Genomic DNA, 15,129 nt, shown 5'->3' with positions numbered 1-15,129 from the left:
CCCAGGCTGGTCTCAAACTCCTGGCTCAAGTGATCCTCCCAAAGTGCTGGGATTACAGGTGTGAGTGAAGGCACCTGCCCACTGAATATTCTTGACCACAGACTTATCTTGAAACACTTTCTCTGGTTTCTGTCTTTCCATACTCCTAGTTTTCTTCCCACTACTCAGTTGTTCCTGATTTCTTCTCTGTATTCCCCTTGCCCTTAAAACTTTTCCTTAGAGATCTCTCTTAGACCCTGCCCATCTCTTGCCATTTCGTAATACTTCCTGAGTGACCTTATTTACTGCTGTAACTTCAAATACCAGTTATATGCTTATATGCTGATGACTACCAAGCCCTAATCATGCTGCCTTACTGGATATCTCCCTGTATAGTCCTGCAGGTTCATTAAATTTAACATCTTAAGTTGGAACAAATCCAAAATTTCTCTGCGATCCCTATCTCAGTGAAGGCATTAGTTATCCACCCAGTTGTTCCAGCTGGAAATCTGAGTGTTGCTCTTGTCCTTTCTCTCTCACTTTCATTCTTTCTGTCTCACTTCACATCTAATCAGTCATCAAATCTAGTCATTTCAGCCTTCTCACTCACTACTGAATCCTCTGTATTTGTTTAATGCCTTTTTTATTTGTATGGCAGCTGCAAATGTAGTCCCATTGTGTGTCTTTTCCAGTAGCAGGAACCCATGTTACTGCCTTTTTCTTCAAGGAGATATATTTCTCTTAGATTAGATTATAGATTTGAGATGGAGAGTTATTAGTTATTGCCTTTTTGATTTTCTTATGCTTTTCAATGGTTTTTCAGAGTGCTGTGCTTTAGTAGGTATTGAGTAATTGTTTTGAGTTGAAAGGATTTGAAACTGTTTAAAAGGTAGCTTAATTTTAAAAACTTTTATCTATCTTAAGTCTGATAAAGAAAGGTTGAGAAATAAGTATATTGCCGGGCACGGTGGCTCACGCCTATAATCCCAGCACTTTGGGAAGCCGAGGCAGGCGGATCACGAGGTCAGGAGTTCGAGACCAGCCTGACCAACATGATGAAACCCCGTCTCTACTACAAATAGAAAAAGTAGCCAGGCATGGTGGCACACACGCACCTGTACTCCCAGCTACTCGGGAGGCTGAGGCAGGAGAATCACTTGAACACAGCAGGCGGAGGTTGTAGTGAGCCAAGATTGCACCACTGCTCTCCAGCCTGGGTGACAGAGCGAGACTCCATCTCAAAAAAAAAAAAAAGAAATATGTATGTTATAGTAATGGAGATTAAAGAATTGAAGCAGTTATTTTTAAGATATTTAAGAGAAAATGAGTATCAAACTAAACACAATATAATAAAGCCACTTAGCACAGTTTAATCAGTTATTTTTATAGACTATCAGCTTCCACTACTAATCCCAATTAAATGTTAACAAGTTTAAAAGATTAGAAATATACCCAGTTTCTTGAGCAGTGAAGTTTTTGGAGGACTGAAGAAGAAATTAACTTTATCATAGCTTATTTTTTAGTGTATTAGTCTGTTTTGGACCATCACTTCTATTTTATAGAACACAAAATAGTATAATATAATCAGATATGTGGTATGTTCCCACTTCAGTAGCTAGATTTTATTAATATTAACAGACACACATTAAAAATATTCTATAAAAATTTGCACATTTTATTTTATTTACTGTTTTTAGAGATGGGGTGGGTCTCCCTATGTTGCCCAGGCTGGTCTCAAACTCCTGGACTCAAGGAATTGTCCCACCTTGGCCTCCCAAAGTGTTGAGATTACAGGCATGAGGCACTACACCAGGCCCTGAAAATTCACACATTTTAGATAGGAATAAAGCATGAGAGTTAGAGATACTGTGTAGTAACTCAATTATAAGACAGTAGAAGAAAAGAAAGTGTGAATCAGATGTTCAGTCACAGAGCACTTTTTATGCTGACCACCAGATGGCACAGTTGTTCCACACCAGCTGGTTGCCTTCGATAGTGGCTATTTCTTGGGATACATGGAAAAGGGGAAGAATGAGGGAGGGACATTGCAACCAGCTGTTCCAAAGAATAGGATGTTTTCAAGTTGGTTCTTTGTAACCTGGAGACAGCTGTTTTATATAATAAAAATAAGCCAGCAGTTTACTTACTTGAATTTCTGCCTCTTTTGAAACTAACTTTATGCTACTACCAAATAAACCATGTCAATATCCTTATAGTTTTGTTTTTTTTTTTTTCAGAAAGCTAACTCTTTAGATATATGAATCAGCAAAATATTAATAACATTAGAAAATTAAACAGAACATTACTATGATGTGAAATATGAAGATACACTTAGAGCCAGGTACAGTGGCTCATACCTATAATCCCAGCACTTTGGGAGGCTGAGGCAGGCTGATCACTTGAGGCTAGGAGTTTGAGACCAGCCTGGCCAACCCATCTTTACGAAACTCCATCTCTACTAAAAATACAAAAATTAGGTGGGCATGGTAGCAGGTGCCTGTAGTCCCAGCTACTTGGCAGGCAGAGGCAGAAAAATCGCATGAGCCCCAGAGGCGAAGGTTGCAGTGAGCTGAGATCACACCACTGCACTCCAGCCTAGGCAAAAGAGCGAGACTCTGTCGCAATTAAAAATAAAAAAAAGAGATACACGTGGGATCTTTTTAGCGATTGATGTTACTGAAATTGTACACTTTAAAAAATTTGTGGCTCATGCCTGTAATCCCAACACTTTAGGAAGCCAAAGTGGAAAGATCGCTTGAGCCCAGGAGTTTGAGAGCAGCCTGGGCAACATAGTGAGACCCCCCCATCCCCACAAAAATAATTAAAAATTAACTGGGCATGGTTGTACGTTCCTGTAGTTGCAGCTACTCAGATGCTGAGGTAGGAGGGTCACTTGAGCTGTTAAATGAGTGATATAGATAATTAGATATGACCAAAATGGGGAGTACCTTCAGTAATATGAGAGTAGTGACTAAATAAAGATGATGTATTTTGTTTATTGCTTTGAAATAAAAATTTTGTTTTTCTCAGGTATAGGTAAGTATATATAAGGTTTTAAGAAGGTTTTGCCCCATAGTTCACATACATTTGAAGAATACATACAGTCTTAAAGCCAGAGGAATTGAACTGTAACTCAGTTGTGATATTTTTTATTACATGCTAATGGCTATGACTTGACATTTATGTAGTAATGAAAGCTTGGTGTAGAGAACCTAGATTAAAGAGTAGTTCCCAAAATGGCGAATTATGAAATATCTTGGCACTTTGAGAAAATATTTAGGTTGTATACTACCTCAAACCTCTTATGGATTGATGCAGAATGTAAGCAAATATTCAGATTATGGAGCAACTGGACAGAATGGAGAAAGAGTAAGTTTTTCTGTTTTTTTATTTTTGTTTTTGTTTATGATGGAGTCTCACTCTGCCACCCGGGTTGGAGTGCAGTGGTGCAGTCTCGGCTCACTGTAACCTCTGCCTCCTGGGTTCAAGCGATTCTCCTGCCTCAGCCTCACAAGTAGCTGGGATTACAGGCACGTGCCACCACACCTGGCTAATTTTTTGTATTTTTTGTTGAGATGGGGTTTCACCATGTTGGCCAGGCTGGTCTCGAACTCCTGACCTTAGGTGATCCACCTGCCCCGGCCTCCAAAAGTGCTGGGATTACAGGCGTGAGCTGCCATGCCCGGCCAAGAATAAGTTTTTCGGGAAGCTGAGCTGTGTACTAAGTACCTAAAACAGAGGAGGAGCTCTTTAGGGAATTTTTTTGAGACAGAGTCTGGGGCATTGGGTTTTCTATGGCCTCAAAGAGCTGCTTAAGCCTGAAGCCTGGGGAAGATAGGGGAGCCAAACAAAAAATATAGCTCTCTGCTTTTCTAAGCAATGTATCTCAAAATAACTGAAATAAACAACTTGATTGCGACCTGGGCCGGAAGTATAAGAACTCTAGCAGAAACCCAAGTGGCTGTATTTCTACAGAAGAATTCTTTCCTCTAGTTGTGGGCTTTATTTATTATTCTTATTTATTTATTTTACGTATTTAATAAAGAGAGACAGTGTCTCATTATGTTGCCCAGTCTGGTTTCAAACTCCTGGGCTCAAGTGATCCCCCTATCTTGATCTCCCAAAGTGTTGGGATTACATGTGTGAGCCACTGCACTCAGCCCTTTTTTTTTTTTTTTTTTTTTTTTTTGGAGACGGAGTCTCACTCTGTTGCCCAGGCTGGAGTGCAGTGGTGAGATCTCAGCTCATTGCAGCCTCCACCTCCTGGGTTCAAGTGATTCTCCTGCCTCAGCCTCCCAAGTAGCTGGGACTACAGGCACACACCACCACGCCCGATGAATTTTTGTATTTTTAGTAGAGATGGGTTTTCGCCATGTTGACCAGGCTGGTCTTGAACTCCTGACCTCAAGTGATCCTCCTGCCTTGGCCTCCCAAAGTGCTGGGATTACAGGTTCGAGCCACTGTGCCCGGCCATCCCACTTATAATACTTATAGTATATTTGTTTTATGTTTATGTAATTTTATATTTGTATAATGATTTTACATTTGGAATATTTATAATAATATATAATTTATGAGGTATTGTACTTGTTTTGAGGAAATTGATGAAGTCCTATAGATATGAAATTTGGGAGATTAAATGCCTCTGTTGACCTATACATTTTACTTCTCAATAAAATTTGAGGCATTTATAGAGCATATATGTATCTGCAGCTATTTTGAAAATTGTACCATTATCCTCCTGGGATTTCTTCTAATTTTTACTAACTTTGGCTTTTTCATTTTGAAATAGTGATCACATGGAAAATGTGTATGGCTATTTAATGAAGTATACCAACCTTGTCACTGGGTGGCAGTACAGGTAAGTGTGATTATTTGTGTCACATCAGTCTCTCCTAAGAGAGCAGGAATAGGGCCCAATAATTTTATATTTTGATATTACTTTAGACAGACATGGCTGGGAAACCTTTTAGAGAAGGATTTCCCACAGCTTCTAAAAGTTTGGTGACTTCTTCTTAGAGGGTGGGAAAAGTTGACATCTGTCCAAGTAGCAGCCTCTAAATGCCTCAGATGTTACTATTAAATGAGGATTAGAATCACTTGTTACCTGGCTTGGGCATTGTATACTTGCAGAAGTTAGGTTCTTAGGGGAAGAGAAATAGGGGTTTGGAGACAGCAAACACATTTGTGTTAGGTTCCCATCTTATGCCAGATTCACAGCTTCTCTGGGATCTTGAAGAGGTTAAGTAACCAGCCAAGGGTCACACAAGCTGTCAGGAAGCAGGAAAACCAGCTATCTCAAATACTTTATAGAATTGTAGTTGTGGGGCAGGCATATTAAACGGGATCAAATTGTCTACCAAGTTCTATTATAGAACAGGCTAACGTAGAATGCCAGACTTCTCCAAACCCAAACATGAATTTTTTTTTTTTTTTTGAGACGGAGTCTCGCTCTGTCACCCAGCTGGAGTGCAATGGCATGATCTCGGCTCACTGTAACCTCTGCCTCCGGGGTTCAAGTGATTCTTCTGTCTCAGCCTCCTGAGTAGCTGGAATTACAGGCATGCGCCACCATACCCAGCTAATTTTTGTATTTTTAATAGAGACGGGGTTTCACCATGTTGGTCAGGCTGGTCTCGAATTCCTGACTTCAGGTGATCTACCCGTCTTGGCCTCCCAAAGTGCAGGGATCACAGGCGTGAGCCACCACACCTGGCCACCCAACATGAATTTTAAAAGTTTAAAACTTTTTAGAGTTACTTTTTATTTTATATTAATTAATTAATTAATTATTTTTGAGACAGGGTCTTGCTCTGTTGCCCAGGCTGGAGTATAGTGGCATGATCTCAGCTCACTGTAACCTCCACCTCGGGCTGAAATCATCCTCCTGCCCCAGCCTCCTAAGTAGCTGGAGCTACAGGCATGCACCACCACACCCATCTAATTTCTGTATTTTTTTTTGTAAAGACAGGGTTTTGCCATGTTGGCCAGACTGGTCTCGAACTCCTGGATTCAAGCAATCTCAACTCATCCAGCCCTTTTTAGAGTTACTTTTTTTTTTTTTTTTTTTTTTTTGAGATGGAGTCTCACTCTGTCACCTAGGCTGCAGTGTAGTGGTGCAATCTCAGCTCACCGCAACCTCTGCCTCCAGGGTTCATGTGATTCTTCTGTCTCAGCCTCCCAAGTAGCTGGGATTACAGGTGCACGCCACCTCGCCCAGCTAGTTTTTTGTATTTTAGTAGAGACGGGGTTTCACCGTGTTGCCCAGCCTGGTCTCAAACTCCTAAGCTCAGGCAGTCCACCCGCCTTGGCCTCCCAAAGTGCTGGGATTACAGGTGTGTGCCACCGTGTCTGGCCTAGCGTTCCTTTTTTAAAAAGGGGCCAGATGAGGTGACTCACACCTGTAATCCAAGCACTTTGGGAGGCCGAGGCGGGAGGATCGCCTGAGTTCAGGAGTTTGAGATCAGTCTGGCCAACATGGCAAAACTCCATCTCTACGAAAAATACAAAAATTAGCTGGGCATGGTGGTGGGCGCCTGTAATCCCAGGTACTTGGGAGCTGAGGCATGAGAATCGCTTGAACCTGGGAGGCAGAGGTTGCAGTGAGTCAAGGTGGTGCCACTGCACTCCAGCCTGGGCAACAGAGCACGACTCCATCTCAAAAAAAAAAAAAATTATTACACTACTTAAATTGGAATTTCTGAAATGTATTTTTGAAAGTAGTTAATCTAGAACCAAATCAGAATTTTTTTTTCCAAAGTGTATTAGTATTTCATCAAATTCTTTTCCAGAGTGTATCAGCATTTCATCATTTAGTTTCAAGGTCCTTATGTTTCAGCATCTCCAATTGCAGCTTTTTCATTTTTAAACAGGAGAAGTAATCTTTAGTTTTGACTTATTTAATGATTCATTCACAAAATCTTTTTTACCCTGTTATTCTTGTTGTATATTTCACTAATTCTTAAATCACAATGCATATCTTGCCTAGTATATCTTGCCTTAACCTCAGAGCTCATATTTTGATTTATTTCCGGTGAATTTTAAAGAAAAATTTTCACTACCATTTGTCCTTTGGCAGTTTACCCTCTGTTAATGAATTCTGGGGAAAAATCTGTCTCTGAAAGGATATGGTATCTTTGCTTCCTTTTGTGCATTAACTGATAGGCCTCTTAATAAATGCCTCTCCCTCAGCTGAAGGGTTTATTATATCTTTTATTAAACTCATTCAATTTTTTTTTTTTTTTTTTTTTTTTTTTGAGACGGAGTTTTGCTCTTTTTGCCCAGGCTGGAGTGCAGTGGCTCGATCTTAGTGCAGTGCAACCGCTGCCTCCCAGATTCAAGCGATTTTCCTGCCTCAGCCTCCCGAGTAGCTGGGATTACAGGCATGCACCACCACACCTGGCTAATTTTGTATTTTTAGTAGAGATGGGGTTTCACCATGTTGGCCAGGCTGATCTCGAACTCCTGACCTCAGGTGATCCGCTCGCCTCTGCCTCCCAAAGTGCTGGGATTAGAGGCGTGAGCCACTGCGCCTGGCCTAACTCATTCGATTTTTAGTAATCTTCCCTGCTGGAAAATTCAGTGTAGTGTTTCCAGGTACCTCTTGAAATGCTTTTAAATTTTATTTTTAAGAGCAAAACCCTGAAATGTGTAAGTGATTGAAGTTTGCTTTGCTTTAGTTTGCTGAGGGAAAATGTTTACAAATTATGGATTTTAAAAAATCATTACAGGTTTTTTGTTTTAAACAATGAAGCTGGGCTGTTGGAGTACTTTGTGAATGAACAGTCTAGAAATCAGAAACCTAGAGGAACTTTGCAGCTTGCAGGAGCTGTAATATCACCCAGTGATGAGGATTCTCACACCTTCACTGTAAACGCTGCCAGTGGGGAACAATATAAACTCAGAGGTATGACCAAAATATGAGAATTAATACTGTGATTTTCCTCTTTTTTTGAGAAGTTGGTGTCTTACATGCTTTCATATGGGCTTTGGAAATAGAAACTGCTGTCATCAGTGATGTAAATACAATATTCTGAACCTTGGAACTGCTTTGAGAATTTATGAAATCTTTTGTAATAAGTAACTGTTTTCAAGTGGGACAATGTATGTTTGTTTAGGACTGGCCCCTCTGAAAAACGGTGTAGGTGAAACTCTGATTACTGAAAATCTAGAAACATAGACTTTAAATGATATTTTTTATGTATTTCACCCCTTTACTTGGTTTAGTTTACGTGCCCTTTTTGCAGTTTTCAGTAACTAATGTACATTATTGGGATTTATTATAATGTCATTCATTAAAATAACGTATAACTTCTGTTAAGATAAATTTAATTTGTGTAGAAGTTTTTTATTTAATGAATACACAAAGTATAATGGTAATCCTAAGTGAGCGTGCTCCTGCAGATCTGAAAGTATTGATTATACATCAAATAATTAAGGGGTTATTTCTTTAAATAAGAACCTATTTTTATGAGTTGCAACATGTCAGTCTCTCATCCTCACCTCACTGCATGTAATTTCTCCTTTTAATGAAGTAACTACATCCAGCTACTGTGTTCCCTAACAACGTTGGTGCTTTGGCCTCTTTCCTGCCTCCCTCCAGTCAGGGAAGTTTGCTCTAGTGAGAGTAAGACCAGTATCTGCTTTTCAGTGATCTGATCTTCATACTGTAGGCAATTAATTGTGTTCCAGAATAAATAAATATAAAATAATTTTTACATTCTTTTAACAGCTACAGATGCAAAAGAGCGACAGCACTGGGTTAGCAGACTTCAGATATGTACACAGCATCATACTGAAGCTATTGGAAAGGTATGTAGATTTATATACAATATTAATATACAAAAATGAGGAAGGAATATTTTTTATTTTTTGCCTTTTAAAATTGAGATACTATTCATATACCGTAAAATTCACCCTTTTAAAGTATATACGTATAATCCTGTGGTTTTTAGTATATTCACAAGGTGGTTCAACCATTGTAACTTTCTTTTTTTTTTTGAGACGGAGTCTCTCTCTGTGGCCCAGGCTAGAGTGCAGTGGCGCAATCTTGTCTCACTGCAACCTCTGCCTCCCGGGTTCAAGTGATTTTCCTGTCTCAGCCTCCCAAGTAGCTGGGACTACAGGCACACACCACCACACCCAGCTTATTTTTGTACTTTTAGTCAAGACAGGTTTCTTTACTAAAAAAAGTTGTTTCTTTACTAAAAATGTTGGCCAGGCTGGCCTCGAACTCCTGACCTCAAGTGATCCGCCCACCTTGGCTTCCCAAAGTGCTGGAATTACAGGTGTGAGCCACCGCACCTGGCCAAATTGCAGCTTTCTAATTTCAGAACATTGTCATCTCTCCCACAAAAAAAATAAAAAATCCGGAGCCACTAGCAGTCACTCCCTGTTCTCTCCTTCCCAATCCCCTAGCAAACTCTCTTTTCTATTCCATGGATTTGTCTATTCTGGGCATTTTATGTAAATTGAACCATATAATATGGGGTTTGTTGTATCTGGTGTCTTTCATTTAGCATGTTTTCAAGGTTCATCCGTGTTGTTGCATGTATCAGTACTTTATTCGTTTATTCCTTTTTTAAGACTGAGTAATATTTTATTGTATAGATATACTACTTTTTTAATCCATCAATTGGTGGACATTGGGTTATTTTCATTTTGTAGGCATTATGAATAATGCTGCCATGAACACTTTCAAGTTTTCATAATGAAAACATTCATTATTTTAATGAATAACATTATAAGTGTTCAAGTTTTTATGTGAACATATGATTTCATTTCTCTAGGGTCTGGGAGTAGAATTGCTGGATCACGTGATAGTTCTATGTTTAACATTTTGAGGAACTGCCAAACTGTTTTCCAAAGCGGCCACACTTTTTTACATTCCCATCAACAATATATGAGAGTTCTAATTTCTTTTTTTAATTTCTTTTTTTTTTTGAGATGGAGTCTCACTCTGTTACCCAGGCTGGAGTGCAGTGGCACGATATCAGCTCACTGCAACCACCGCCTCCCGAGTTTAAGCAATTCTCCTGCCACAGCCTCCCAAGTAGCTAGGACTACAGGCACCTGCCACCACGCCCGGCTAATTTTTTGTATTTTTGGTAGAGACGGGGTTTCGCCATGTTGGCCAGGCTGGTCTCGAACTCTTGAGCTCAGGCAATCCACCTGCCTCAGTCTCCCAAAGTGCTGGGATTACAGGTGTGAGCCACCACGCCCAGCGAGAGTTCTAATTTCTGTACATCCTTGCCGACACTTGTTATTGTCCTTTAAAAAAATTATTATGGTTATCTTAGTGGATATGAAGTGGAATCTTATTGTGGTTTTGATTTCATTTTACTAATGACTAATCATGTTGAGCACCTTTTCGTGTGCTTATTGGTTAGTCATTTGTATATCTTCTTTGGAGTGTTTTTAAAAATATTTTTCAAGGTGAAAGGAGAGTCTCATTACTTGAAATCTGAGGTTAGAGATGTCTAAAAATTAATATATGGGCAGCATATTTAAAGGATTTCGTACCTAGGTGATAACTTGGCTTTTACTATTTTTTTTTTAATCGTTCTTCCTGGTGGTTTCCCCCAGAAGTGAATTTTTAAAAACTGTTTGTAATTTCGGCCTAAAACCTAGTCTTCAGGAAATCCAACACAATGGCTTTTCTCATACTGCAAGGTTCTAGTCATTGTCAGTGAGAAAGTACTAGTTTGTATCAAAGGATACTTGGCATGTTACATTAGGAAATGTATTATATTGCTGAGTGCATTTTCTGTGTTAATCATGGTGTTTAAGGCCGGGCGCAGTGGCTCATGCCTATAATCCCAGCACTTCGGGAAGCTGAGGTGGGCAGATCACCTGAGATCAGGAGTTCAAGACCAGCCTGGCCAGCATGGCAAAACCCTGTCTCTACTAAACATACAAAAATTAACTGGGCATGGTGGTGCATGCCTGTAATCCCAGCTACTCAGGAGGCTGAGGCAGGGGAATCGCATGAATCTGTGAAGCAGAGGTTGCAGTGAGCCAAGATCACGCCACTGCACTCCAGCCTGGGTGACAGTGTGAGACTCAGTCTCAAAAAGAAAAAAAAAAAAAATTCATGGTGTTTAAAAAATCTGAAATTAGAAACTTTGTTATTCTAATATTTATAAAATGTGAAAGAATATTTTTTGACAGCACAAAGCTGGAAAATAATTTTCTAAATAAATTACCAGTTTCCTTTGGGATATGTAAAATGCTTAAACTTTGAGTATCTCAGATTTTTATCTTTGGAAATGTTCTCATAGTCAATTCTGAAGTTAATTTAATTTTAAACGCTGCTCATGTGTAAATCTTAAGTGTATGGTAGTTTGATGGTTAGAAATCCTAAATTAAAGAAGAAAACAAAAGGAATGATTTTCTTTGTCTAACAGAATAATCCTCCTCTGAAGTCACGGAGCTTCTCACTTGCATCTAGTAGTAATTCTCCTATATCGCAGAGGAGACCAAGTCAAAATGCCATTTCTTTTTTTAATGTTGGACATTCCAAACTGCAATCACTGAGCAAAAGAACTAATTTACCTCCAGACCATCTTGTGGAAGTCAGAGAAGTAAGTATGAATTAAAGTCAAGTTAAAATGCACAAAATGATTTTACCTGCTTGGTTTTGTCACAAAAAAACTTAAATACTGTTTGTGTCTTCAAGGGCCTTCATTGTTTCCTATCTAGTATGCTGAGATAATTTTTAAGTCGTAAACATTCCCTTAATATATAGTGTCCTAAGTTTCCTCATGTCTGTCACGTACTAGGTACATGGTCATTTTTCAAAAGTGTGTATCTTTCAATTCTCAAGTAAAAGTACAGACTCCTTTTATGTAAATTTTATGATCAAAAGGGTAATTAAGCCTAGTGGGAAGACTGTATAGCCAAACAAGTGATTCTTTAAAAAAACAAACTGATATAGGCCAGGCATGATGGCTCAAGCCTGTAATCTCAGCACTTTGGGAAGCCAAGGTGGGAGGATTTCTGGAGCCCAGGAGTTTGAGACCAGCCTGGGCAACAAAGCCAGACCCCGTCTCTAAAAAAAATTTTTTTTTTTAATTTTAGCTGGGGGTGGTGGTGTGCACCTGTCGTACCAGCTACTCCAGTGGCTGAGGTGGGAGAACTCCTTAAGCCTGGGAGTTTGAGGTTGCAGTGATTTATGATTGTGCCACAGCACTCCAGCCTGGGTAGCAGAGTGAAACCCTGTCTCAAAAAATAAAAAAACAAACAGTGGTAGGTCGCGGTGTCTTATCCCTGTAATTCCAGCACTTTGGGAGGCTGAGACAGGAGGATCGCCTGAGCCCAGGAGTTTGAGACCAGCCTGGGCAACATAGTAAGACCTGTCTCTAAAACAAAACAAAACAAACAAAAAACTTTTATATATATAACTGATATATGTATATATAGAAATGGATATATATATATAGAACATTTCAAACATATAGAATCATTAAATCTTTGATGTTGCCTTATATCACCATTTCTTTTAAACTGTGTACCAAATAATTCTAGTTAATAAAACACGCAGTTTGTTAAGTTCTAAATATTAAGTTCCAAATATATGTATAGAACATATAGAATATATATATTACAGAACACAACGGAATTCTCATATCCGTTTCTGTATTCAATCTACTGTAGTATGTTGTTTTAGTTGAACTACAGGATGAAAATTTGGCCATTCACAGATAATGTGTTTGGAAAAAAGAGGAACATGTAATAGCCTTTTTAGATAATTGTGGCTATTCTTTGTTACTATACCAAAACTTGACAACTGATAGTTTCTTAAATGTTAGATGCCGTGTGGAATCTAATATATATCGGTGAACTTTTTGTATTTTGTTACATGAAAATCCATTGGTCTGTCCTGCACTTTGAATGGATCTTTAACCTATCCATGATTTTGTAACACTGTGCAGGCATGCATTAGTCATTTTGGAGATATTAGTTTACAGAGTTATGCATATCTTGCAAATATTGATCCATTTTATTATTATACAGTGAGTAAAATTCATATTTATTAACATCCCCAGTGTCATCAGAAAAGTATTGGGAAGCTGTCAGATATACCAGATGGTTGTCCAAAATTCTGATTTTCATTTTAAAGCTCAAATTTTGTAATTGGTAACAAATACTGTCTTTTTTTAATTGATAACCTCATTTTATTCAATCTTGAGAAAATGTCTACCTCATTCCCCAAACCTGAATCTCCATAGTTTCTTTCTGTCATTCTTTCACATCTGAATAGTAGTCCACAGGAAAAAAAAAAAAAAAAAACTGCTAATCAGCTTACAAGTCAGTCACAGAAGTGCTTTTTCTCTAGGCAACCTCTGTGTATTGGTATGCAACAGAAGTGCTTTATATGTACTTCCCACTTTTTATATAGAGAATTTTTTAAATGTGTAGTTGAGTCAAGATGTAGTAAATTTAATGATTTTTACTGCTTTACAAGGACATTCTTCAGTAAATTGGCTTTTTTTTTTTTTTCCTGTGAGTTCATGGCAGGTAAAGAATACAGTGACCACTAGTGGGTTTGGTGTCACTGCCTTTTCACTATCATTCCAGAAGTTCTACCCACCATTGCTTTTACGCCATTAATGCAGATGTCACCACAGTGAAAAAGGCAAATAACTTCTTTGAATTCTTATAAAAATAGTTTGACTTCACAGACTCTCTGAAAGGAGTCTCACAGGGGTCTCTGCAGAGCACACTTTGAGAATTACTGTTCTAGAATTATCCAGTTCCAGGAGGTTGTGATGCAAAGATATAAATTGGTGTGAGTTTGAAACGAACATTTTAATCAAATCTGTGGGTAAGTTTAGTGTTAGATTAGGTAGCAGTTTGTAAAAGCAGTTAACTCCTTTTTTTTTTTTTTTTTTTTTTTTGAGACGGAGTTTTGCTCTTGTTGCCCAGGCTGGAGTGCAATGGCACAATTTCAGCTCACTGCAACCTCTGCCTCCCAGGTTCAAGTGATTCTCCTGCCTCACCCTCCCACATGGCTGAGATTACAGGCATGCTGCAGGCATCCACCATGCCCGGCTAATTTTGTATTTTTTTAGTAGAGATGGGGTTTCTCCATGTTGGCCAGGATGGTTTTGAACCCTTGACCTCAGGTGATCCACCCGCCTCGGCCTCCCAAAGTGCTGGGATTACAGGCGTGAGCCACCGCACCTGGCCTAAAAGCAGCTAACTCTTGTGAGTAGTATCATACTGTCCTTGAAAATGAATTTATTACAAAAGCTTTACTTTATTAAAATCATCTGTTTCCTATTTACTCTTTCTTATTAGTACTACTTATCAGTTCCCTTCCTTTTCAGTCCATGCTTCATGCTGGTACTATGCCATGCCCTGTGAGTAACTCAAATGACCATTCTAGTAAGTGAGACAGAAACTTAAAACACAAGTGATTAAAATCACGATTCTAATTTGGTTTTCAGACAAATTATATGCCACCTGAGTGATATACTCCTATCACTACAATTGCCATTTCTAGCTACAAAACACAGGTTCACCAAGTTTTCAGCTTTCTTGAAGTTTTCTTTTTTTTTTAAAAGGAACTGGTTTTATAGTATCAAGGAACCATCACTAAAACAGTTTCACAAATCACTTTTCCATTTCTTTGAATATATTTGATTAGCTAATTTGTTTTGGAGACAGCCATTACCAACTTTTAACATTTATGCTATAATTATATACTTTGTTTTAAAGCAGACTGCAAGTTATATATATATACACACACACACACACTATATATACTATATATATCTTACTATAGATATATATCTTACTATATTTATATCTTGCAGTCTGCTTTAAAGTATGTGTGTGTGTGTATATATATACACACACTTTATAATATGTACATATTTTATATATATAAAATATATATATAAATATATAAATATATATAAATAAAATATATATATGTATACATAAAAAATATATATATATATAATTAGTCCATATTCATACTGCTGATAAAGACATACCCGAGACTGGGTAATTTATACAGAAAAAGAGGTTGGATGGACTTACAGTTCCACATGAATGGAGAGGCCTCACAATCATGGCGGAAGGCAAGGAGGGGAGCAAGTCACGTCTTACATGGATGGCAGCAGGCAAAGGGAGAAAACTTGT

The 15,129-nt window shown here is 38.5% G+C and overlaps 1 protein-coding gene across 2 annotated transcripts in view, besides 2 other annotated features; it reads left to right on the top strand.

Moving 5' to 3' along the window:
- The window catches only part of OSBPL11 (oxysterol binding protein like 11), a 66,640-nt gene that overhangs the window by 7,748 nt on the left and 43,763 nt on the right, over window positions 1-15,129 (top strand). For both annotated transcript variants that reach the window (NM_022776.5, XM_047447396.1), the window contains exons 2-5: window positions 4,772-4,840; window positions 7,710-7,885; window positions 8,711-8,790; window positions 11,385-11,561. In NM_022776.5, coding sequence (NP_073613.2) covers window positions 4,772-4,840; window positions 7,710-7,885; window positions 8,711-8,790; window positions 11,385-11,561 — 502 coding nt within the window. The remainder of the gene's footprint in view (window positions 1-4,771; window positions 4,841-7,709; window positions 7,886-8,710; window positions 8,791-11,384; window positions 11,562-15,129) is intronic.
- Window positions 7,985-8,129: an enhancer, noted in NCBI's record as "145 bp enhancer 180 fragment used in the MPRA reporter construct; PK_construct_675". NCBI's record gives its function as "activates an SV40 promoter by MPRA in HepG2 cells {active_cell/tissue: HepG2}" and the evidence as "EXISTENCE:reporter gene assay evidence [ECO:0000049][PMID:23512712]".
- Window positions 8,051-8,064: a transcriptional cis regulatory region, noted in NCBI's record as "HNF1 motif; enhancer activity is reduced when this motif is scrambled". NCBI's record gives its function as "necessary for full MPRA enhancer 180 activity {active_cell/tissue: HepG2}" and the evidence as "EXISTENCE:site-directed mutagenesis evidence [ECO:0005528][PMID:23512712]".

The sequence above is a fragment of the Homo sapiens genome, chromosome 3, assembly GCF_000001405.40.
Source record: "Homo sapiens chromosome 3, GRCh38.p14 Primary Assembly".
Lineage (NCBI taxonomy): Eukaryota > Metazoa > Chordata > Mammalia > Primates > Hominidae > Homo > Homo sapiens.
This window is presented reverse-complemented; position numbering and strand designations above follow the sequence as displayed.